Source organism: Homo sapiens, chromosome 7 (genome assembly GCF_000001405.40).
Source record: "Homo sapiens chromosome 7, GRCh38.p14 Primary Assembly".
Classification (NCBI taxonomy): Eukaryota; Metazoa; Chordata; class Mammalia; order Primates; family Hominidae; genus Homo; species Homo sapiens.
The window spans coordinates 66,024,687-66,050,047 of record NC_000007.14 but is presented as its reverse complement, the minus strand read 5'-3'; the positions used below and the strand labels follow the sequence as shown (position 1 = coordinate 66,050,047).

General features: G+C 44.7%; 1 long non-coding RNA gene and 1 pseudogene across 5 annotated transcripts in view, besides 4 other annotated features; both read left to right on the top strand.

Moving 5' to 3' along the window:
* Window positions 5,416-5,485: an enhancer, noted in NCBI's record as "active region_26078". NCBI's record gives its function as "activates an Ori minimal core promoter by ATAC-STARR-seq in GM12878 lymphoblastoid cells {active_cell/tissue: GM12878}" and the evidence as "EXISTENCE:reporter gene assay evidence [ECO:0000049][PMID:35858748]".
* Window positions 5,416-5,966: a biological region, named in NCBI's record as "H3K4me1 hESC enhancer GRCh37_chr7:65509069-65509569".
* Window positions 5,466-5,966: an enhancer, noted in NCBI's record as "H3K4me1 hESC enhancer chr7:65509069-65509569 (GRCh37/hg19 assembly coordinates)". NCBI's record gives its function as "activates a minimal SCP1, AML or CMV promoter by ChIP-STARR-seq in naive H9 embryonic stem cells {active_cell/tissue: H9 hESC(naive)}" and the evidence as "EXISTENCE:reporter gene assay evidence [ECO:0000049][PMID:30033119]".
* The window catches only part of LOC105375336 (uncharacterized), a 52,145-nt gene continuing 32,417 nt past the window's right edge, over window positions 5,634-25,361 (top strand). For 4 of the 5 annotated variants that reach the window (XR_002956511.2, XR_927617.3, XR_002956510.2 and 1 more), the window contains exons 1-4: window positions 5,634-5,758; window positions 11,872-11,994; window positions 18,512-18,548; window positions 24,757-24,851. This is a non-coding gene — a long non-coding RNA (uncharacterized LOC105375336). The remainder of the gene's footprint in view (window positions 5,759-11,871; window positions 11,995-18,511; window positions 18,549-24,756; window positions 24,852-25,361) is intronic. The other variant, XR_007060359.1, reaches the window with a different exon arrangement.
* Window positions 5,806-5,895: an enhancer, noted in NCBI's record as "active region_26077". NCBI's record gives its function as "activates an Ori minimal core promoter by ATAC-STARR-seq in GM12878 lymphoblastoid cells {active_cell/tissue: GM12878}" and the evidence as "EXISTENCE:reporter gene assay evidence [ECO:0000049][PMID:35858748]".
* Window positions 21,391-24,867, top strand: LOC100419772 (CGRP receptor component pseudogene; annotated as a pseudogene).

Sequence of the window (25,361 nt, the reverse complement as noted above, 5' to 3'; positions counted from 1 at the left end):
CTCCCACTGATTCTACATGATGGTGAGTTGTATAATTATTTCATTATCTATTACAATGTAATCATAATAGAAATAAAGTGCACGTTTAATGTAATGTGCTTAAACCATCCTGAAACCTCCCTGCCTCCTAGTCAGTGGAAAAACTGTCTTCCACAAAACAAGTTCCTGGTGCCAAAAAGGTTGGGGACCACTGGATTAGGAGTCGATATGGTTTAGATCTGTGTCCCCACACAAATCTCATGTCGAATTGTAATCTCCAGTGCTGGAGATGGGGCCTGGTGGGAGGTCATTGGATCATGGGGGCGAAGTTCTCATGAATGGTATAGCACCATCCCTTTGGTGCTGTTCTTGCAATAATGAGTGAGTTTTCACGACACCTAGCTGTTTAAAAGTGTGTAGCTTCGGCTGGGCATGGTGGCTGATGCCTGTAATCCCAGCACTTTGGGAGGCCGGGGTGGGCAGATCACCTGAGGCCAGGAGTTGGAGACCAGCCTGGCCAACATGGTAAAACCCTGTCTCTACTAAATATACAAAAATTAGCCGGGTGTGCTTGTGCGTGCCTGTAATCCCAGCTACTCGGGAGGCTGAGACAGGAGAGCCACTTGAACCCAGGAGGTGAAGGTTGCAGTGAGTCAAGATTGCGCCATTGCACTCCAGCCTGGGCTGGAGTGAGACTCGGTCTCAAAAAAATTAAATAAGGCCAGGCGTGGTGGCTTACGTCTGTAATCCCAGCACTTTGGGGGGCTAAGGCAGGCAGATCATGAGGTCAGGAGTTCGAGACTAGCCTGGCCAACATGGTGAAATCCTGTCTCTACCAAAAATTAGCTGGGTGTGGTGGTGCACGCTTGTAATCCCAGTCCATCAGGAGGCTGAGGCAGGAGAATCGCTTGAACCTGGGAGGTGGAGGTTGCAGTGAGCCGAGATCGTGCAACTGCACTCTAGCCTGGGTGACAGAGGGAGACTCCGTCTCAAAGAAAATAGAGAAATAAAATAATAACAAAAAAGTATGTAGCTCCTCCCCTCCTCTCTTGCTCCTGCTCCCCCTTGCCTTCCGCCATGAGTAGAAGATCCCTGAGGCCTCCCCAGAAGCAGATGCTGCCATGCTTCCTCTAGAGCCGTTGGAACTGTAGGCTAATTAAACAATCTTTCTTTATAAATTACCTAGTCTCAGGTATTTCTCTTTTTCTCTTTACTTTTGTGTGTGTGTGTGTGTCGCCTAGGCTGGAGTGCAGTGGCGCAATCTCAGGTCACTGCAAACTCCACCTCCTGGGTTCAGGCAATTCTCCTGCCTCAGCCTCCCCAGTAGCTGGAATTTCAGGTGTGCGCCACCATGCCCAGCTAATTTTTTTGGATTTTTTTTTTTTTTTTTAGTAGAGATGGGGTTTCATCATGTTGGCCAGGCTGGTCTTAAACTCTTGACCTCGTGATCTGCCCGCCGTGGCCTCCCAACATGCTGGGATTACAGATGTGAGCCACTGTGCCTGGCCTTCAGGTATTTCTTTATTGAAGTGTGAGAACGGACTAATACAGAAGTCCTACATGAGTCTCACTGGGCTAAAATCAAGGTGTTGGTAGGGCTGCAGTCCTTTCTGGAAGCTTCAGAGGAGAATCTGTTTTCTTGCCTTTTTCAGCTTCTAGAGGTTACCTACACTTCTTGGCTCATGGTCTCTTCCTCTACCATCAAAGGCAGGAACATTGCATCTCTCAGACCATTCTTCCCTAGCCACACCTCCCTTGGGTTCTGACATTAGCTGAGAATGATTCTATGCTTTTAATGACCCCTGTGATTAGGTTGATACCATGTAGAAAATCCAGGATAATCTTTTCTTTGCATCTCAAGGCCCATACCCTTAATTGTCATGGTGATCAGCGACTATTCAGGGCCAGAGGTGCAGACAGTAAAAAGAACTTTTACTTGGCTCACTGCAGCCTTTGCTTCCCAGGCTCAAGCGGTTCTCCTACTTCAGCCTCCTGAGTAGCTGGGATTACGGGTGCCAGCCACCATGCCCGGCTAATTTTTGTATTTTTAGTAGAGATGGGGTTTCACCATGTTGGCCAGGCTGGTCTTGAACTCCTGGACTCAAGTGATCCACCCACCTTGGCCTCCTGAAATGATGGGATGACAGGTGTGAGCCACTGCGCCCGGCCTCCTGGGTACCATTTGAACACCCAGCTAACTCCCTACTCTAAGTCACACCTGAGCCATTTTATCATGGGGGCTGTCAGAGGCACTGCTCTTTTCCACTGAAGCCCATACCTAATCCCTCGGCCTCATGTGCTTTTCCCCTCACCCACTTCAAAGGCCCATGGTTTTGGGACGCCTCTCCGCCTCATTAGTCATTCCCTCCCCTGCCCCATCGCGTCAAAACACAATGCATTGTGGTTATTTATGTCCAGAGCTGGCTCCCCAACTACGCTGTCAGCTAGCCAGTGCAGAGGGTGTGTGTTAGTCACATTTGTATCATCAGCCCCCGATGGGCCATGGCTACATACTTGTTGAATGAATAACACAAGGAGGAGCTTTAGCATTTCTTTGTGGGGCCCCATTTTCTCAACGAAGGTACAGGGAATTCTCCACACTAACCAGGCCAGCTAGATCTGGGTGGCATTTTATGCACTTTGTTGTTGTTGTTGTTGTTTTTTAATTTTTTATTTTTATTTTTTTTGAGACGGCATCTCGCTCTGTCGCCCAGGCTGGAGTGCAATGGCGTGATCTCGGCTCACTGCAACCTCTGCCTCCTGGGTTCAAGCGATTCTCCTGCCTCAGCCTCCCAAGTAGCTGAGACTACAGGCGACCGCCACCACGCCCAGCTAATTTTTATACTTTTAATAGAGACAGGGTTTCACCATGTTGGCCAGGATGGTCTCGATCTCTTGACCTTGTGGTCTGCCCTCCTCGGCCTCCCAAAGTGCTGGGATTACAGGTGTGAGCCACCGCGCCTGGCCGTTGTTATTGTTTTGCGATGGAGTCTTGCTCTGTCACCCAGGCTGGAGTGCAGTGGCGCGATCTGCAACCTCTGCCTCCTGGGTTCAGGCGATTCTCCTGCCTCAGCCTCCTGAGTAGCTGGGGTTACAGGTGCGAGCCACTGCGCTGGTTAATTTCTTTTTTTTCGTAAAGATGAGGTTTTGCCACGTTGCTCAGGCTGGTCTCAAACTGGGCTCAAGCGATCCACCTGCCTTCATCTTCCAGAGTGCTGGGATTACAGGTGTGGGCCGCCATGCTCAGCCGAGTAAAAAATGTTTAACAGCTTTATTAATATAGGATTCATATGCTGTACAATTTGCCATTTAAAGTGTACAACTCAATGTTTTCAGTATATTCACAGGGTTGTGCAACCACCACCGCCATCCATAATACTTTTAGGACATTTTCGTTTCCCAAAGAGAAGCTCCATATCTATTAGCAGTCACTGCCCATCCCTGCACCCAACCCCTCTCCTAGCCTTCTTTCTGTATCCATAGATTGGCCTCTTCTTGGACATTCTATATAAAGTGAATCATACGGTATGTATATATATTTTTAGAAGGAGTCTTGCTCTGTCGCCCAGGCTGGAGTGCCGTGGCATAATCTTGGCTCACCACAACCTCTGCCTCCCGGGTTCAAGCAATTTTCCTGCCTCAGCCTCCTAAGTAGCTAGGATTACAGGCGCCTGCCACCATGCCCGGCTAATTTTTGTTTTTTTAGCAGAGACGGGGTTTCACTATGTCGGCCAGGCTGGTCTCGAACTCCTGACCTCATGATCTGCCTGTCTCGGCCTCCCAAAGTGCTGGGATTACAGGCGTGAGCCACTGTGCCTGGCAATTTTTGTATTTTCAGTAGAGATGGAGTTTCACCATGTTGGCCAGGCTGGTCTTGAACTCCTGATCTCAGATGAACCACCCGCCTTGGCTTCCTGAAGTGCTAGGATTATAGGCATGAGCCACGTGGCCAGGTGATATGTATTATTTTGTGTGTGGCGTCTTTCACTTATTAATAGCGTCATGTTTTGGGAGGTTATCCATGTTGTAGCATGTATCTATCCATCTATCTATATGTATTTTTTGCAACAAGGTCTCTCACTCTGTAGGCTGGAATGCAGTGATATGATCATAGCTCCCTGCAGCCTCGACCTCCCGACTGAAGTGATTCTTCCACCTCAGCCTCCCCAGTACCTGAGACTACAAGTGCTCACCACCACACACCTGGCTAACTTTTTGTAGATAGGGGGTCTGGCTATGTTGCCCAGGCTGGTCTGGAACTCCTGGTCTCAAGAAATCCTGCCCCCGCCTCCCAAAGTATTGGGACCAAGCCTGGCCTCCTTTTTATTTTTAAATAGTTTTCCATTGTACAAATGTAGTACATTTTATTCATCCACTCACCAGTCTCTAGTTAATGCATCTGTTGTGTTTGTTCAGATTGACTGGGGTTCAATACCCACCGGACAAGTTCCTAGATGAGTGACTTTTGGTAAATCATAATCTCTCCAAGACTGCCTCAGTTTCTTCAATTATAAAATGTCAATAATAAAGGAATCTACTTCACAGAGAGTCATGGTTGTACTGCCACAGTAATTAATAAAGTGCCAGGCACTTTATGAGGATTATCTAACACATTTATTATTTACAAAGGAGGGAACAAAGGCCATTGCGGTGGCTCACACCTGTAATCCCAGCACTTTGGGAGGTGGAGGTGGGAGGATCACTTGAGGCCAGGAGTTCAAGACCAGCCTGGGCAACATAGAGACTCTCCCATCTCTACAAAAAAATAAAAGAAAAATTCTAGCTGACCCTTTGGACAGCAAATAATTTTTTTTTAGAAAATTAGCCAGAGGGGGCCAGAAGCGGTGGCTCACGTCTGTAATCCCAGCACTTTGAGAGGCCGAGGTGGGCGGATCACGAGGTCATGAGATCGAGACCATCCTGGCTAACACGGTGAAACCCCGTCTCTACTAAAAAAAAAAAAAAAAATAGCCGGGCAGGGTGGCCGGCGCCTGTAGTCCCAGCTACTCGGGAGGCTGAGGCAGGAGAATGGCGTGAACCTGGGAGGCAGAGCTTGCAGTGAGCCGAGATTGCGCCACTGCACTCCAGCCTGGGTGACAGAGCCAGACTCCGTCTCAAAAAAAGAAAAAAGAAAAAAAGAAAATTAGCCAGGTGGCCGGGCACGGTGGCTCATGCCTGTAATCCCATCACTTTGGGAGGCTGAGGCAGGTGGATCACGAGGTCAGGAGGTCAAGACCAGCCTGGCCAAGATGGTGAAACCCTGTCTCTAATAAAAAATACAAAAATCAGCCGGGCATGGTGGCGGGTGCCTGTAATCCCAGCTACTTGGGAGGCTGAGGCAGGGAATTGCTTGAACCCGGGAGGCAGAGGCTGCAGCGAACCGAGATCGCGCCACTGCACTACAGCCTGGGCGACAGAGCAAGACTCCGTCTCAAAACAAACAAACAAACAATAGAAAACACGAGATAATCCTGTCCGCAAACGCTCAGCAGTCTGAAGTCGGCCTGGGCGAAGGATACAGGAACACGCCCCCACCCCCCCCAACACCCCCACCCCCGAGAAAGGAGAACCTGCGGCGCGAGGTTCCGAGTCCGCCAAGCTCCCGGCATGAAGCGCGGCGCTCCTGGCTTGCACCTTGGCGTGCGGAGCTGGCACTTTGGCGCTGTTGGCGACGGTGGGGAGAGCTGTAGAGTGTGAAGTTCCTTGTCTGCTGGCAGCCAGAGGCGACGAGTCTGGACCTCATGGAAGTCCAGACTCTAGTCTGGACGCGTCCCTTTTGGTACGCGAGGAGCCTAACAGTTGGACCTCTGAGAGCCGAGAGCCGTGGGGACTGGGCGACCCTCGTACGGAAGTGAGGGCAGGGGGCTGGCTGGCCCTGTCCGGGAGGGCCCCGGGATAGGGACAGGGACGAACGGGACTCAAGCCCCTCCGAACCTCCACAACCTGTGTCTGGGGTGCGGGGCCGAGCACCTCCGTGTCCGGCTGCCTTTCAATGTGCCCCCTCCTTCTCTCATTCATTTACCAGCGTTTCTGGGTCACAGTGCGGGGGTGGAGCCCAGCCTGGTATCCGACCCGGGACTTAGCAGGCTGTAAAGGCCTGAGTCTGTCCGCCCTGAAAGTAGGTGGAGGAGAGACGAATCAGGTCCAGGTAGAGCTCTGCTTGCCCCACCGGGCCCTGGGGAGCCCTCACTCCGAAGAGCTGCCCTCAGAGTTTGATGGGAACAGTCAACACTGTGAGGGAAGGGGCGAGTTTTTGGGTGGAGAAGGGAAGGATGTGAGCCAGGACTGGGACCGGAGAAACAGCACGGGGTGTGTGGGTGTGTACAGGCGAGGGTAAAAGGTTTTCTGACAGTTTAACTCCACGTGGTCTTTTCCGTGCTTGTTCGTTGCGCCTAGTGCAAATGGAAGTTTTTGCATCTACTCCGAATGTGGGTTTTATATGATTGATATTAACTTGTAGGTATTACCTAACTTGTGTTCTCTGTGAACTGACTGATACAGTTTCCTTCACGTTCTCTTGCCTCATGTTTAATGGTTATATGTACTATGGCATTTCAGATGTTTATATTTTTAATTAATTAATTTTGTTTTTTCTTAAGAAACAGAGTCTTGCTGTGTCCACCAGTGGGAGTGTGGTGGTGTAATCATGGTTCACTGCAGCCTCGACCTTCTGGACTCAAGCAATCCTGCTTCAGCCTCTCCGGTAGCTGGGACTGCAGGCCCACACCATCACTCACTGTTCATTTTTTTTTTTTTAAGTTTTTGTAGACAGAGGGTCTCACTACAGCCTAGGCTGGTCTCAAGGTGATACTGAGCTCAAGTGATCCTCCTGCCTTGTACTCCCAAAGTGCTGGGATTGCAGGTGTGAGCCACCTCACCTGGCTCCTTTTGAGTTTTTTTTTTTTATTGACGTAACATAATATGTCTGTGTAACTGAAATGAAAGGCTCATGAAACAATAATGTATGGCGTACACTCTCATATTGTTTATTTTTTTGTTAAAATGAATGGGGCCAAGCGTGTGGCTCATACCAGTAATGCCAGCACTTTGGGAAGCGTAGGCAGGAGGATCACTTGAGCCTGGGTGGTAGAGACCAGCCTGGGCAACATAGGGAGACCCTGTGTCTGCAAAAAATAAAAAAGTTAGCTGAGTGTGGTGGTTCATGCCTGTAGTCTCAGCTACTTACGAGGCTGAGATGGGAGGACCGCTTGATCCCAGGAGGCTGCAATGAGCTGAGATCCAGCCACTACATTCCTGCCAGAGTGGCAGAGCAAGCCTCTGTCTAAAAAAAAAATAAAAATAAAAATAAGTTGACCTACTGAATTAATTTTGCAACCTACTGATGGGATTTCATCTGCAACCTGAAAAACTATTAATATATTTTACTCTTGTATAAGCCATCATTACTAATTTTTCCCTACTTACTAGAGCATTTCCTGTGAGCATACAATCCTGCTTTAGTGTATTCATCTTAAGAAAATCCTGTCCTCACATACATGTCAGCCTCTTTTTTTTTTTTTTTTTTTTTTTGAGACGGAGTCTTGCTCTGTTGCCAGGCTGGAGTGCAGTGGCACCATCTTGTGTCACTGCAACCTCAGCCTCTTGGGTTCAAGCAATTTTCCTGCCTCAGCCTGCCGAGTAGCTGGGACTACAGGTGCATGCCGCCATGCCCAGCTTATTTTTTCTTTTTGGAATTTTAGTAGAGATGGGGTTTTACCATGTTGCCCAGGCTGGTCTCAAACTCTTGAGCTCAGGCAATCAGCCCAGCTCGGCTTCCCAAAGTGCTAGGATTACAGGTGTGAGCCACCACACCTGGCCACATGTCCACCTCTTACTCCATTTCTGCTTCCCATCCCAACAAAACTTCTTGAAAGTGCTGATTAGACCCTCATTCTCTCAACCATTCTGTTGGGCTTTCATCCTCACTGGTCTACAGAAATGACTGTTAACATTACCTGATCCAGTGGGGCGCAGTGGCTTACGCCTATAATCCCAGCATTTCAGGAGGCCAAGATGGGCCAATTGTCTGAGGTCAAGAGTTTGAGACCAGCCTGGTCAACATGGCGAAACCCCGTCTCTACTAAAGATACAAAAATTAGCCGGGTGTGATGGTGGGCACCTGTAATCTCAGCTACTCAGGAGGCTGAGGCAGGAGAATCACTTGAACTCGGGAGGCAGAGGTTGCAGTGAACCAGATTGTGCCACTGCACTGCAGCCTGGGTGACAAAGCAAGACTGTTTCAAAAAAAAAACAAAAACAAAAACCTGATCCCTCCATCTTGTCAAATGCAGATGTTGATTTTCTGGCCTCAACTTTCTTGATCTCTCAGCAGTGGTTAATACAGAAACTCTAGAAACTTTCTTTTCTTTGTGATATATGCTCCCTTTTGATATTTCCTCCTACATCAAGGACTACTTCACAGTGTCCTTCCCTGGGTCTCGTTCCTCCCTTGCTTGATGTCTAAGTGTTGAAGTATCTTAGGGCTCAGTCCTGGGACCCTTTCTCTCCACACTCTGTCATTTAACCCATCTATGTGCTGATAGTTCCCAAAGATATGTTTCTAACCTTCTTCTCATCATCTATCCAATTGCATAGACCAAAAATCTAGCCCTCTCTCCTCACTTCCTAAATCCAGTCCATCAGTGGTCCTGTTGTCTCCACCCTAGAATGTATTTTGAATGCAGTTACTTTTCAGCATCTCCACTGTTAGCTTTATAGTCCATCACCTCTGGGCTGGATTAAGCAATAGCCTTTGAGTGTTCACTCTTCCCCAGCCTCCATTCTGTTCTCCACATGGCAACTGGAGTGATCTTAAGTAATGATTGGAACATGTCACCCCTGGATAAAACCCTTCATTGACTTTCCATTGCACTTAGAGGAAATCTCCATCTATTACCAGGACCTGCAAGACCCTGTAAAACCTCACCTACTCCCCAGCCTTACCACTTGCCACTCTCCCAACCTCCTAGACACACACTTTCCACTGACAGGTATTTCCTTCTCCTCTAACCTTCTAAGCACTTCCTGAGTACCATTGCGTTGCGGTACCCTCTGTCTGGTATACTTTCCTCCTCGCCCTCGCCCTCGCCCTGTTCTCATCTTCTTATTTATTTATTTTTAATTTTTTTAATGGAATCTTCCTCTGTCACCCAGGCTGGAGTCCAGTGGTGCAGTCTCAGCTCACTGCAACCTCTGCTTCCTGGCCTCCTGGGTTCAAGGGATTCTCCTGCTTCACCCTACCAAGTAGCTGGGATTACAGGTGTGTGCCACCATGCCCAGCTAATTTATGTATTTTTAGGAGAAACAGGGTTTCCATGTTGGCCAGACTGGTCTTGAGTTCCTGACCTCAGGTGATCTGCCTGCCTCAGCCTCCCAAAGTGCTGGGATTACAGGCATGAGCCACCACACCTGGCCACCTGTTCTCTACTTGGGTTGTGTCCCTTTTCAAAGTTGCCTTTCCTCTTCAGTAAGTCTAACTAACATAAGCTCTTTTTGTCTCTCATAGCACCTTGATTTACTTTCCCTCAAATAATTACAAGTTGCAGTGATAAATGTATGCTTACTTGTTTGGAGGGTGGGGACCAGTGTCTGTTCACCTAGTGCTTAGCATTGCATCTGGCACACAGTAGGCATTCAGCAAATACTTGTTCAATAAAGTAATATAACAATACTTTATTAGCTTCATAAATATAGTCATCTCTCAGCATCTTTGGGGGATTGGTTCCGGGACCCCCTGCGTATACCAAAATTCACAGATGCTCAAGTCCCTGATATAAAACGGTGTAGTATTTGCATATGATCTATGCATATTCTCCCATATACTTTAAATCATCTCTAGATGCCTTATTATGATACCATGACATGTAATACCAGTTTTTGTCCATGGTTCCTGGCTCATAACTGCCATAGTCCTTGTTACTTTCTAAATGACTAAAACAGTAAGCATAACTTTTGTTAAAGTATTTGTCCTTTGTCCATGGTTCCTGAAGTGGCCTTGGAACAGCTTCAGAGCAGTAAAGGTGAAGGACAGTCTTTTGTTAGAATGTTGGGGCACTCTAAGCCTCAGAAGCAGGCCTCAGAAAACAGAAGATCTGTCTCTTGCCCTCTAATCATCCCCTGCCTTTCTGTCTTAGAGCTGGCCGTAAAGAAATCTCTGAAGTATCTTGTCTGATTTTAGGTTACAAGACCCCCGTTTCAGAGGGGGTCGTGCCCCTTACCCAGGAGGAAGAAATAGAGAGAGGCCAAGGAGAATCTGGATGGGCCTTGCTGGGTTTCTGCACTCAGTTAGATGACACTCTTTATCCAATCAGTTACTGTGAGGTTGGTCATGCTTCAATAATCTCTCTCTAGTGAAATCTCTACAAAATGCCCAAGAGAACTTCTGGATAGCCTAACAGGTGGAAGTTTCTGGATGGTGGTATGCCTGGGGAGGGCAGAGAGCTCTGTGCCCCCTCTCCATCCCTCATCCTGTGCACCACTTAATCTGTATCCTTGGTAATACCCTTTATAATAAATCAGTAAACCTAAGTAAGTGTTCAAATTAATGAAGCCTAAAGAGGAGGTCCTGGGAACTGCAGCTTGAAGCCCGCCATTGAGAAGTTCTGGAGGCCCTGACCTGTGTGACTGGTGTCTGAAGTAGGAGCAGTCTTCTGGGACTGAGCCCTCAGCCTGTGGAATCTGACACTGTTTTCAGATAGTTAGTGTCCGAATTGAATTGGATTGGAAGGTACCCAGCTAGTGCTGGCTGCAGAATTGATGGCTTACTTATTGATAGAGAAAAATCCCCACGCATCTGGTCACAGAAGTCTTCTGTGTTGATTGTTGTCAGGTGAGAGCAGAGGAAAACCAGTTTGATTCTCAACCAACTTATAATACATGATGCAATGTAAAGGCTGTGTAAATAGTTGTTGTACTGTGTTGTTTAGGGAATAATGACAAAAAGCAGTCTATCCATGTTCAGTGTAGAGGCAGCCATCCTAGGCCTAACTACATAGTACATGTCAGCAACAATGTAGCATTTTCTTAAACATTTTTTTTGCATGTTTTTCATTCCAGGTTGGTTGAATCTAAGGATGTGGAACCTGAGGCTAAGGAGAGCCGACTGTATAAATTCATTAGCTAGCATCCTAGTTGCTAGGCGTGTATATTTTCTGATTTTCCTAAGTGAAATGGTTTGAATCAAGGGGTTTTTGTTCTTGTAACAGCCTGTCCACTTCTGCCAAGTAGTCAGTGACTTCCTGTAACCAATCAAGAATTTTGCAGCCAGTAATTCATGGGAAAATGAGGTTTCCTGAGATAGACATGTGATTTGGGAGTGGAAGGGCCCTGGAGTGGAAAGGTCTGGAAGCCTAACTTCTGGTCCTCACCTGGTCTTCAACAGGAGGCGTGACCTTTGGAAGTCTGCTCCTTAGGATCTTTAGCAGAACCTTGAGTTGCAGATACAGTTGACCCTTGAACAACACGAGCTTGAACTTCATGGATCTCCTTATACGCAGATTTTAAAAAATAAATGCAGTTGGCCCTCCATATCTGCAGGTTCCACATCTGCAACCAAACGCAGAGAATGAAAATACAGTATTTGAGGGATGAGAATATACCTGCATATGTGGAGAGCTGGCTTCCTAGCTGCTGGTTCTGCAAGGCTCTCTGGGACACAAGCATGTTCGGATTTTGGTGTATGTGGGGGTCCTGGGATCAATCTCCGATACATACCAGAGGATGCCTGTATATTGTAACTCTATCAGACACTCCCAGAACCTGAAGCGAGGAGGCACAATGAACAACTCCTCTAAGTTTTTGCTACTTTTTAAAATTCTGATTGAGGAAATACCTACTAAGTAACTAATACATAATAATAATAATAATACCAGAAATTTCTTCTTTTTTTTTGAGACGGCGTTTCGCTCTTATCACCCAGGCTGCAGTGCAATGGCACGATCTCGGCTGACTGCAACCTCTACCTCCTGGGTTCAAGCGATTCTCCTGCCTCAGACTCCTGACTAGCTGGGACTACAGGTATGTGCCACCATGCAAAATATTTATATAGCAAAGTTAGGTATTTCTGTATATTAGGTATTTACTATTTGGCTAACTTTGTCTATAAATGATCATTGATATGGCTGGAAAGGTTTGTGTCAACTCTTTTATTCTTTTTATTTATTTGTTTATTTATTTTGAGACAGTCTTGCTCCATCAACCAGGCTGGAGTGCAGTGGTGCGAACTCAGCTCGTGGCAACCTCTGCCTCCTGGGTTCAAACGATTCTCCTGCGTCAGCCTCCCGAGTAGCTGGGATTACAGGCGCCCGCCACCACACCTGACTAACTTTTTTGTATTTTTAGTAGAGACAGGGTTTCATCATGTTGGCCAGGATGGTCTCAATCTCTTGACCTCATGATCCGCCCACCTTGGCCTCCCAAAGTGCTGGGATTACAGGTGTGAGCCACCGCGCAGCCCACTTTTTTTTTTGAGACGGAGTCTCATTCTGTCGCCCAGGCTGGAGTGCAGTGGCGTGATCTCGGCTCACTGCAAGCTCTGCCTCTCAGGTTCATGCCATTCTCCTGCCTCAGCCTCCCGAGTAGCTGGGACTACAGGCGCCTGCCACCACGCCCAGCTATTTTTTTGTATATTTAGTGGAGACGGGGTTTCACTGTGTTAGCCAGGATGGTCTCGATCTCCTGACTTCATGATCCGCCCGCCTTAGCCTCCCAAAGTACTGGGATTACAGTCGTGAGCCACCGCGCCCGCAGCCCACTCTTTTATTCTTGAATGTAATATATATAATTAGGAAAATGGACACTATCTTCTGTACCATCTTTTTGAGGTAGTGTCAGGATTTCTTTCTTTTCACAGCTGGAAATACTGATATTTAGAAAAGGTGGGTAATAGGTACTATAACATCCCAGTAACAGGACTGCAAAGAGGATACTCGTTTGCTAGCTCCCAAGAGAATGCTACAGGTTAAGTTGTTCATTGACTTCAGAAGCTGCCCAGTTTGCTTGTACCAGACTTTAGTTTTTCAGAGCATGACTTGATAGCATAGGCTGGGCATAGGAGAATTTGAGCAATTCTTTTCGTCGTTGCCTGCGTAAGAGTTGACTGTGTGGCAATTAATAGGCACTGTTTGCATGTGCCGTTTGTGTATGTGTGTGCTTCTGAGGAAAGTTCACCAAGAGATCATTTTGTTCTGTTTATTCGGAATTCAGTTTCCGAATAAACTGAATTGTTTATATCCATTTAATTGACTCACCAAGTTAAGCAAATTTTACAAATTAAATGTCAACTAGAAAGTCAACTTCAGTCATCTAATTCATTACTTAAGGAAATTAAGTAACTGCCTGCCTGTAGTATAAATTTAGACAGTCTTTAAAATGCGTTTGGAGTATTTGCTTTAAACACATGTAAATAAAATAAGTACTATTCTAAGTCCTACAGGAGAATATGAAGTTTTTGTATAGGTAAGCAGTTTCTGGAAATCTGATTGCATGTGAACGTATTACATAATACTAAAGTGTGAGCTGTAGAGCAGACAGTTCCAGCTTTGTAGAGATCTACAGCTTGTACATTTATAATTGCTAGATGTGTCCATTAAGTTCTACTAGCTCTAAAACACTTTTGAAGACCTGGAGCAGTAGGTCATGCTTGTAATCCCAGCACTTTGGGAGGCCACGGTGGGGGGGGAATCACCTGAGGTCAGGAGTTCGAGACTAGCCTGACCAACATGGAGAAACCCCATCTCTACGAAAAATACAAAATTAGCTGGGACATGCCTGTTAATCTCAGCTACTTGGGAGGCTGAGGCAGGAAAATCGCTTGGACCCGGGAGGTGGAGGTTGCAGTGAGATGAGATTGGGCCATTGCATTCCAGCCTGGGCAACAAGAGCAAAACTCCATCTCAAAAAAAAAGAAAAAAAAGAAAACAAAACAAAACAAAAAAAACTTTTGGGGCAAATGTATTTTACATCCTCAATTATAAGTTACAGTAATTTTATTTTTAACTTTATGGCATTCTTTATTTTAGTTTTACATTTTCATATTCCTTAACTTCTTAGCATGAAAAATTTTAAACCTGTGAAACAGCTGCAAAAACAGTACCACAAATACCTGTATTATACTCATTACCTGAAGTCACCACTTGTTAACATTTTGATTTGGGTATTTGCTACCCTTCCCCCTTCCCCCTTCCCTTCTTTTTTTTTTTTTTTTTTTTTTTGAGAGGGAGTCTCACACTGTCGCCTGGGCTGGAGTGCAGTGTTGCCATCTTGGCTCACTGCAACCTCCACCTCCCAGGTTCAAGTGATTCTCCTGCCTCAGCCTCCTGCGTAGCTGAGATTACGGGCGCCTGCCACCACACCCAGCTAATTTTGTGTATTTTTAGTAGATACAGAGTTTCACTATGTTGGCCAGGTTGGCTTTCTTTCTTTCTTTTTTTTTTTTTTTAATTAGAGACACTTGAGCCCAGGCTGGATCTAAACTCCGGGCTGAAGCGATCCTCCTTTCTCAGCCTTCGGAATAGCTGGGATGACAGGTGTGAGCCACCGTGCCTGGAATTCCCTTATTTCTTTTGCACAGGCATGAGCTTTCTCTCCATACACAGGTGCACACACTTACTTTACTGAACCATTAGAGAGTTGTAGACAGCAGATCATTTCACCCCTTCTTGGAAAAGGGCATTCTATGTAGCTACAGTCGCCTTATCACACTCAGGAAACTTAGCGCTGATATATCTACTATTATTAAGATACAATGTAGGCCAGGTGCGGTGGCTCATGCCTGTAATCCCAGCACTTTGGGAGCTGAGACGGGCGGATCACTTGAGGTCAGGAGTTGGAGAGCAGTCTGGCCAACGTGATGAAACCCCATCTCTACTGAAAATACAAAAATTAGCCAGGTGTGGTGGTGCATTCCTGTAGTCCCAGCTACTTGGGAGGCTGAGGTGGGAGAATTGGTTCAACCTGGGAGGCGGAGGTTGCAGTGAGCCGAGATCGTGCCATTGCACTCCAGCCTGGGCAACAGAGCCAGACTTTGTCTCAAAAAAAAAAAAAAAAAAAAAGATGCAATGTAAACTCACATTCCTTCAGTTGTCCTAATAGTGTTCTTTTTCCTCCCAATTCAGGATCCAGTGAAGAACTACACATTGCATTTAGTTGTCATGTTTCTTTAATTTCCTTTCCTCTGGAAGTTTACTTAGCTTCTTTTTGTGACATTGGCACTGTGACAAATGACATTGATATTTGAAGAGTCTAAATCTAACCCAGTTGTTTTGAAGACTGTTCCTCAATTTGGAATTCTCTGATTATATCCTCATGGATAGATTTGAATTAAACATCTTGGGGCTGGATTGCTCTGAGGGATGTCTTTCTCATGCATCACATCATTATTGGTGCTGTGAAATTGGATAACTTGATTAAGTTGATGTCTGTCTGGTTTCACCATATCCTGTTGCCAACAACCTGTCATTTAGTGTGGTTACAGTAACTTCTCAAGGGTAAAAACTGCCTTAAAAAAAAATTCCACAACACATACAGCCCGTTTAGGACTTCATAAAAAGGTAGATAAGGTACCTCTTGACCTTTTGTTAAATAAAGAAGGGCCTAGCATACATTGGCATTTTGTCAGAGTATTTAGCTGGGTTAAAAACAATTATCTTGCTGATAAAAGAAAATCAATGAATAAATCAGTTTCTGTCAGCCAGAGTCTGCAAAATGCAGTACCTGTGTAAACATCGATTGTTCTCTTGATCCCAAAACACAGATTCATTAAAACTTATGTGAAAGAGAGTTTTCCTCCTTTATATTTGTTCTAGAAGAGGCAAAGAATGTTCTTTGGATTCTTACATTACAGTATTGACTTTTTCAGTGGCATAGTAACTTGGAATGGCCAAGGACAAATTTTCGCAGAGCGTGCAATATTCTGAATGACAGAGAAGGGGCAATGATTTGGAAATGAAATTGTAACGGTGCACCTGGGATGGATCCGTTGGTCCTGAAGAGAAACAATATTCATATTTTTTCTCCAGTTAACTATTCCAGGAAGGGATGTCTTAACGCCTCATATTTTGGAGAGCACAGGGAGTTATAACTCAATTTCAAGCAAAGATAGGAGGAAGCCAGTGGGCTGATTTCCTGATTAAGCAGGCAAAGATGACATGTGGTTTGATTTGTCATTTTCAATTTTAAATGAGCTCTGTCACATGCACTAATTATGCATTGTCTTTCCTGTGTTAGATTCCTTTCAAATATGATACTCTTTGTGACTTCAGTGTGTTTGTGGTCATTTGGGCAAAGCAGCACTTTTGTGAAATCGTAGCTTGAATCACTGGTAGCATTTGGTAAGCTTCACAGAGCTGATTTGATTACAGTGCTGACATCACTGTGCTGATGACCTAAGGCCTAGGTTGAGCCCTGTGTGAACCACTGTTGGTTTTGCTTTATTTATTGACTGGGAAATCAACTATCTGTTTGGCCCATGCTTTTGAAATCTTGGGTCATCATTTGCATCATCTCACTGCACTCCTGGTTTAAGACATACAGGGGTCTCTGTTGCACAATATGTCAAGCACAGACCCCTCTACCTGATTTTTCAGGATTCTGCATTACCAGTTTCCATTCATCCAGTCCAGTCTCATTTCCCACAACTCCATAGTTGCCTTCCACTTTATTTAGACTTCTTACTGTGTGACCTTGAGCAAGTTATTTAATTTCTGAACCTTGGCTTCCTGTCTATAGAGTAGGAATCATACGAATAGCTTCTACATCATAGGGTTTTTAATGACAATTAACTGAGATAATATCTTTTAAAAATAATAACCTTCCATTATGGAGATGTTAATACAAGTACCAAGAACTGTGCTAAACTTTTAAAATTTGTTGTCTCACTTCATCATAACAGTTTGATGAGGTAGGAGGAGCTGGTGGTAGTGGTAGTTGCACAGGTAGTAGTAATGATAACGTTGGTGCTTATTGAGCACTTAATATGTTCCGGGTATTTTACATGTTTCCAGTGAACCCTGTGAACAGTCTTACAAGGTTGATACTATAATTGCCATTTGATAGATAGGAAATTTAAGCATAATGAGATTAAGTAACTTGCCCAGATTCACATAGCCAAAGAATGCAAGAGCTGGATTGAAATCCAGGCCACACTTTTAGATACTAGTTTCATCCCATTTTTAGTTTAGAAGGAAAACTTAGGGAGTAATTAACTAAAACTCTCACAGCATATAAATGGCAGAGCTAGAATGTGAACCCAAATCTGATTTCAAAACTATATTCTTTGTCATACTCCACTGCCTGCAGACTGCTGAAAACAATGCTTTCTGATATGCTATTGTAGAGTGGATCGATTGTGATTTAATATACATCACATTGTTGTTTCTTCACTCAGGAAAGATGGCATATTGCCTGGATTAACTGTTACACAGGGAACCAGGCTTTTGGCCACTGCTTGCCACCCTGACTGTACCTGTTGAGTTGACGTAGGTGGTGAACACCCTGGGAGCATGGTGGATATTTGGCAGGATACTTGCCCATGGCTGGAATTCCCAGTGGTGACATTGGTGTTAAGTGGGCCATTTCTGTTGATTCAGCAGGAGGACGTGGCTGCCCAAGATGTCAATAGCTGATGGGAGGCAGATAATAATGGGGAGAGGACATGGCTGTTGGATGGGACAGCACTTTGTTCCCAAGTCTGCTCTGAAATTGCCCACAGCTAGCTAAACCATGTTGGACTTAAGACATTTCTCAGTTTCAGTTTTAGGTGGTAGTCCCCAAATTCTAAAAGCGGACTACTACATCTTGACAGGAATTCTTTTTTTTTTTTTTTTTTTTTGAGACAGAGTCTCTCTGTGTTGCCCAGGCTGGAGTGCAGTGTCGCGATCTCGGCTCACTGCAAGCTCTGCCTCCCCGGTTCATGCCATTCTCCTGCCTCAGCCTCCCGAGTAGCTGGGACTACAGGCACCTGCCACCACGCCCGGCTGATTTTTTTTTGTATTTTATTGATTGATTGATTGATTGATTGTAGAAACGGGGTTTCACCATGATAGCCAGGATGGTCTTGATTTCCTGACCTCATGATCCGCCTGCTTCGGCCTCCCAAAGTGCTGGGATTACAGGTGTGAGCCACCGTGCCTGGCCCCCAACTTGACAGGAATTATTATTATTATTATTATTATTATTAAGACGGAGTCTCGCTCTGTCGCCCAGGCTGGAGTGCAGTGGCGTGATCTTTGCTCACTGCAAACTCCGCCTCCTGGGTTTATGCCATCCTCCTGCCTCAGCCTCCTGAGTAGCTGGGACTACAGGCGCCCGCCACCACACCTGGCTAATTTTTTGCATTTTAGTAGAGACGGGGTTTCACTGTGTTAGCCAGGATGGTCTCAATCTCCTGACCATGTGATTCGCCCGTCTTGGCCTCCCAAAGTGCTGGGATTACAGGTGTGAGCCACAGCGCCCGGCAGATGGGAATTCTTTTACAGATATTTGATACCCAGAAAGGGGTGTGAGCCCAGACTGATAACTTACTTTTCTTTTTCAGGAAGGATGTCGATTCTGCGCTTCTCAGTAACTACGTGGTAAATTGAACTGTTACATTTTCCTCTCTGATAATTTGCCCTTTGCTTGTAAGATTGTTGAATTGATTTTGGTTAGAAATGACTGAATTCAGACTAGGTGCAATGGCTCACGCCTATAATCCCAGCACTTTGGGAGGCTGAGGCAGATGGATCACTTGAGGTCAGGAGTTCGAAACCAGGCTGGTCAACATGGTGTAACCCCATCTTTACTAAAAATACAAAAATTAGCCAGCTGTGGTGGCACGTGCCTGTAGTCCCAGCTCCTTGGGATCCCAACTGAGGTAGGAGGATCACTTGAACCTGGGAGGGGGAGGTTGCAATGAGCCAAGATCACGCCACTGCACTCCAGCCTGGGCAATAGAGCCAGGCTCTGTCTCCAAAAAAAAAAAAAAAAAAAAGGATGTAGTTGAATTTTCCACTTCAAAACAAGACATGTGGCACCATCTAGTGGACCTTGGAATAGTCTAAGCTTTATATGTTATACGTATACGTAGTACTTCAGGGAAGCTGGGAAGACTCTAATTCAGAGCAGGCAAATTTCAGTAAATCTCAAAGATTCTAGATAATCATTTGGGATGTAGTCATAGGATAGAAGCATCTATTTTAGAGCTGTTTCTGCAAAATTTCCCATTGAAATATTTATGCTTTTTCCTAATTATCACCCTTGATATATTTATATATTTATAATGCTTTTATACATTGTTATTTTAATCTTCAAATAGTCTTTTGGGTATTAACATTGTTATTTTGAAAGTGAGTTTAGTTGACTCACCTTTCTGAATAGTAGAAATTAACAAATTTATAATTTTTGGGGCCTAGGGTGGGGTTCCCAGGGAAAGGAAAAGAAGGAAAAAGATTGGTAAGACGGAAGATATTCCAGCATTTTTGCCTCCTATTTGGCACTAGCAAAACCATCTGATAGGCTCACTCCAGGTGTAGAAAGAACCATTTATACCTTGACTGTGAATTTTCCATGTGCTAGAGTCTAAACTCAGGAAGACTCAGAGGAGGTCTAGAAGGTAGTAGCTTAAGTGCTGTGGCTCATGCCTGTAATCTCAGCACTTTGGAAGGCCAAGGAGAGAAGACTGCTTGAGGCTATGAGTTAGAGATCAGCCTGGGAAACCTAGCAAGACCCCCAGCTCTTAAAAAAATAAATTAGCTGGGCATGGTAGCAAACACCTACTATGGTCCTAGCTACTTGGAAGGCAGAGGGGAGGTTTGCTTCAGCCCAGGAGTTTGAGGTTACAGTGATGACCACTGTACTCTAGCCTGGGAGACAGCCTTTGGGACCCTGTCCCCTAAAAAAAGCTCCCAGAGTGGAAGACAGCAAAAAGAAAGAAACCGCCTCCCTTCCACATCCCCCCAAAAGAAAAGAAGGTAGTAGAATAAACAGAGTTGGCCATATTCTTTCCTCTCTAAAGGCTCAGTCTCAAGTGGTTGCAGCTTAGAACAGGAAGGAAATGGTTGAATGGTTTTTGGCCAAGCCTTTGGCTTTTAGGAGCCTCCTTGTCCAGTTTGGACTTTGCTAGGCGTTTGGGTGTTTTATCCATTGGGGAAACATTGCATTCATTGATCTCATGCCACTATTTCTGAAAGGAACAGCAGATGAGAGGGGTCGCATTGTATTTAGTGATGGTGTGTGAGCCTGCATTTTCTTCACTTCTGTGGTAGAATCTCTAAAACAGGAATGAGACTGAGATTCCCCCCTGCCTCCAGCACTCTAATGCATGCATGTTTTATCCTTGTGGGGAAAGTTTGCTTCTAAAAATCCATAGCATTTTTTCCTCCCCTTTTTTTGGTAAACTCTGTCTTATCACTTGCTTCAAAATTTTTCTTTTCCAGAAAGAAATTATTATGTTAGATTTTTTTTTTTTTTTTTTTTTTGAGATTGAGTCTCACTCTGTCGCCCAGGCTGGAGTGCAGTGGCATGATCTCGCCTCACTGCAAGCTCCACCTCCCGGGCTCATGCCATTCTTCTGCCTCAGCCTCCCGGGTAGCTGGGACTACAGGCGCCCGCCACCACGCCCGGCTAATTTTTTTTGTATTTTTAGTAGAGATGGGGTTTCACCGTGTTAGCCAGGATGGTGTCGATCTCCTGACCTCGTGATCCGCCTGCCTTGGCCTCCCAAAGTGCTGGGATTAAAGGTGTGCACCACTGCACCTGGCCTATGTTAGATTTTTATACTAGAGAAGCAGAATTCTTTTTTAACAAAATATTTGTTTTAAGAAAATTTGCTTTCAAATAGTATATTTTTGAGATCAGAGGAGATTAGTGATGTGTATATTCATAGGAAATGTTTGAAATTGTTTTTTTTTTTTTGAGATGGAGTCTTGCTCTGTTGCCCAGGCTGGAGTGCAGTGGCGTGATCTCAGCAACCTGCAACCTCTGCCTCCCAGGTTCACGCCATTCTCTTGCCTCAGCCTCAAGAGTAGCTGGGACTACAGGTGCCTGCCACCACGCCTGGCTAATTTTTTGTATTTTTAGTAGAGATGAGGTTTCACCATTTTAGCCAGGATGGTCTTGATCTCCTGACCTCATGATCCGCCCGCCTCAGCCTCCCAAAGTGCTGGGATTACAGGCATGAGGCACCGCACCTGGCCATATTTGAAATATTTTAGGTAAATTAATGAATTTGGATTATTTGGCTTATATAAAAGAGCATTTTTTTAATGTCATATGCCTCTGGGACTCATATTTGCTCAAATCCAAGAATTGGAAGCTGCGTAATGGGCGGGTGAAAGGAAGTACTACAGTTTCCTGTTTATCCTTCAAAACCACTGACCTTAGATAGATATATTTCTCAAATTTATTCATAAACTTCTTTTGTGTATCTTCTCCTGGGTGTTTCATTTACTAACTGATCTGAAAGAGCAGCGTAAAGAAAGTGGAAAGAATAAACACAGCTCTGGGCAACAGAACTTGAACACTATCACCTATGAAGTAAGGCTGGGCTTCTGCCAGGCCTACCTAAAGTACCATTGAGGGAGGGGGGTTTATTCTCCCAACGACTGGCTGCTGAAATCAAGATCGCCTTTTATCTGATTTGAATACTTTTACTGTAACCTGATTTTTATTCTGTTTATAAAAGTGGGAGGAGTTTGGTCAAGTGTAGTGTTTAGCCAGCTACAAAGTTAGAAGGAATAGTCTAAAAGATTGCTCTCACTTCTCCTTGAAAGGGAATCACTGCTCACTGCAGCCTCAACCTCCCAGGCTCAAGTGGTGCTCCGAGCTCAGCTTCCCAAGTAGCTGGGAATATGGGTATGCACTGCCATGCCTGGCTAATTTTTTTGTTGTTGTCCAGGGTGGTCTTGAATCCCTGGGCTCAAGGGATCTTCTCACCGCATCTTTCCAAAGTGCTGGGGACTTAGACACTTAAGGCTATTGTTTATTTTTCAAGTTTCAGATTCTTCCCAAAATATGTAATTATAATTCCTCTCAAATTATATCTGTATTCTTCTTCAAAAGCCACAAATTCTGTGTAATCATGAGAAAATATCAGACCATTGCAAATCAATTTTAAAAAAACACCTTTTATTTTGAAATCATTTTTCTTTTTTTTTTTTGGAGATGGAGTCTCCCTCTTGTTGCCCAGGCTGGAGTGCAATAGCACGATCTTGGCTCACCACAACCTCCGCCTACCAGGTTTAAGTGATTGTCCCGCCTCAGACTCCTGAGTAGCTGGGATTACAGGCATGCGCCACCTCGCCTGACTAATTTTGTATTTTTAGTAGAGATGGGGTTTCTCCATGTTAGTCAGGCTGGTATCGAACTCCCAACCTCAGGTGATCCGCCGATCTTGGGCTCCCAAAGTGCTCGAATTATAGGTGTGAGCCACTGCGCCCAGCCATTTTTCTCTTACATAAAAGTTGTAGAGACAGGTGCTGGGAGTTCTTGTGTACCCTTCCCATAGTTTTCTCCGATGTTAACATCTTACATAACCATGGTCTATACCATGAAAAACCAAGAAATTAACATTGGTACATACTATTAAACTAAGCTAAAATTTTATTTGAATACCTTGTTTTCCCACTGCTGTTTTCTGAGTTCCAGGATTCAGTTCAGGATACCATTTTTTTTTTTTTTTTTTTTTTTTTTTTTTTGAGAGGGAGTCTCTCTCGCTCTGTCGCCCAGGCTGGAGTGCAGTGTCATGATCTCGGCTCACTGCAAGCTCCGCCTCCCAGGTTCACGCCATTCTCCTGCCTCAGCCTCCCGATAGTAGCTGGGACTACAGGCGCCCGCCACCACACCTGGCTAATTTTTTGTATTTTTAGTAGAGACGGGGTTTCACCGTGTTAGCCAGGATGGCCTCAATCTCCTGACCTTGTGATCCACCTGCCTCGGCCTCCCAAAGTGCTGGGATTACAGGTGTGAGCCACCGCACCTGGCTCAGGATACCATTTTATATTTAGTTAACATGTTCCCATAATGTCATTTGTTCTGTGTCCTTACTCTTCCTTTGTCTTCCTTGACACTTGTGAAGGGCTGGTCAAGTATTTTGTAGAACGTCCCTTGATTTGTGATTGTCTGACGTTTTCTTATGATTACACAGAACCTGTGGCTTTTGAGGAAGAGTACCACAGAGGTGATCTCCCCTTCTCGTGTCCTGATATCTCAGGGTACATGATATCGATGTTTCTTTCTTTTTTTTTTTTTTTTTTGAGATGGAGTCTCTCTCTGTTTCCCAGGCTGGAGTGCAGTGGCACAGTTTTGGCTCACTGCAACCTTCACCTCCTGGATTCATTCCATTCTCCTGCCTCAGCCTCCCGAGTGGCTGGGACTACAGGTGCCGGCCACCATGCCCGGCTAATTTTTTGTATTTTTTTAGTAGAGACGGGGTTTCACCGTGTTAGCCAGGATGGTCTCAATCTCCTGACCTCGTGATCCGCCCGCCTCGGCATCCCAAAGTGGTGGGATTACAGGTGTGAGCCACCGTGCCCGGCCAATGTCGGTGTTTCTTATGGCTACTATTGTTAACTTTGGTCATTTGGTTAAGATAGTATCTGCCTGGATTGTCCACTGTAAAGCTACTGTTTCTTCATTTCCATATTATGTTAGAAAGGATTCACCAAGTTCAGCCCATATTCAAGGGGAAGAGGGAGATTAAGCTTCACCTCTTGAAGGGAGGGATATCAAAGAATTTGTGGATATATGTTAAAACCACCACAGTAATTAAAAAATATTTTTTGGGAGATGCTTTGTGGCTAGGAAAACAGCCTACCCTTTGCTTATGCTTTTAACCACCAATTTTAGCATTCATTGGTGGATCTTTCCTGAAGTAATTATAACTATGGTACAGTTGCCTGATAGTGATTTAAAAATTTTTCTCATTCCTTCTATGCTTATTAGATTTTTATATATATATTTTTTTAAGAGACTAGATTTTGCTGTGTTGCTTCAGGCTGGTTTCAAACTCCTGGCTCAAGTGATCTTCCTGCCTTGGCCTCCCATAGTGCTGGGATTACAGGTATGCACCACTGCACCCAGGTCATATGAGTTAGAATTCTTCCATAAGAAAAAGTTGTCTCTTCTTACCCATTTATTTATTCATTAGTATATATCCATGTAGACTCAAGGCAATTTATTTTATTCTTTGGGTTCCCCCTTTAAAAAAATTGTCCGAAATATAACATAATTGTCAGAGTGAGTTTTTTTTTTTTTTTTAACATCAGAAAAGTTTTCTCCTAAAATTTCATTACTTATTCTTCCTGTCCTAGCTACTGGTTTTCTCTTTCAGGAATTCCAATTACATGAAGATTGGTTCTCCTGAACACCTCTTTGCTTGTTTTATACAGGATTTATTTATTTATTTATTTATTGAGACAGAGTGTCACTCTGTCACCCAGGCTGGAGTGCTGTGGTGCGATCTCAGCTCATTGCAACCTCTGCCTCCTGGGTTCAAGTGATTCTTCTGCCTCGGCCTCCCTAGTATCCGGGATTACAGGCATGCACCACCATGCCCAGCTTTTTTTTTGTATTTTCAGTAGATATGGCGTTTCACCATGTTGGCCAGGCTGGTCTCGAACTCCTGACCTTGGGTAGTCTGGCCACCTTGGCCTCCCAAAGTGCTGGAATTACAGGTGTGAGCCACTGTACCCGGCTTGTACAGGATTTTTAAAACAAAATTTTAGAATTTTAATTACAGCCATTGCGTTTCCTTTTTCTCATTCAGGGTTCTTTGTGTTATGTTTGGCTTTTTTCTTTTTCCAGACGTGAAAATACATATCAAAAACACTGTGCAGGCACCAGAGTCCTGAGATTGTCAGAGAATTTCTCACAGCAATGAAAAGCCACAAGTTGACCAAGTAAGTTAACCTCTTAAGTAGGAAGAGAGTGACACATGGTGAAATGATAGCTGAGGAAAGCCATTCGTAGCAACCGTGTATTGATATTCAGCTGAGTTTGGATTTAAAGGAGGATTATAGTATTGTAGATGAAACAATTAAACGTTAGACATAGGGACCCTTCTAGAGTAAGGAACAAAACTTAATGGGGTTTTAAAAATCTTTTCTTGGAGTTCCAGTTTGTATGACCTATCCCATCACCCCCACTCCCAGAATTCAGACCAAATTGGATGAAAAGTAGGGTTGACAAGTTAAAGTACTTTTTATAAAATTGATCAATGAAGTCCTTTGATGTTTGTGTTTGCTTGAGGCAAAAGTGGCTTGATCATATTCTGTGAGTTCTTGTAGTGTCCAGTTCCTTTTCTTGGTCTGGAATGAGTTCAACCTATTAAAATCGAAAACATCATAGATCAAGAGTTTAGAGGAGAAAAAAACTAGCCCAAGTTTTTTAGAGTCAGTTCTAGAGCTGAT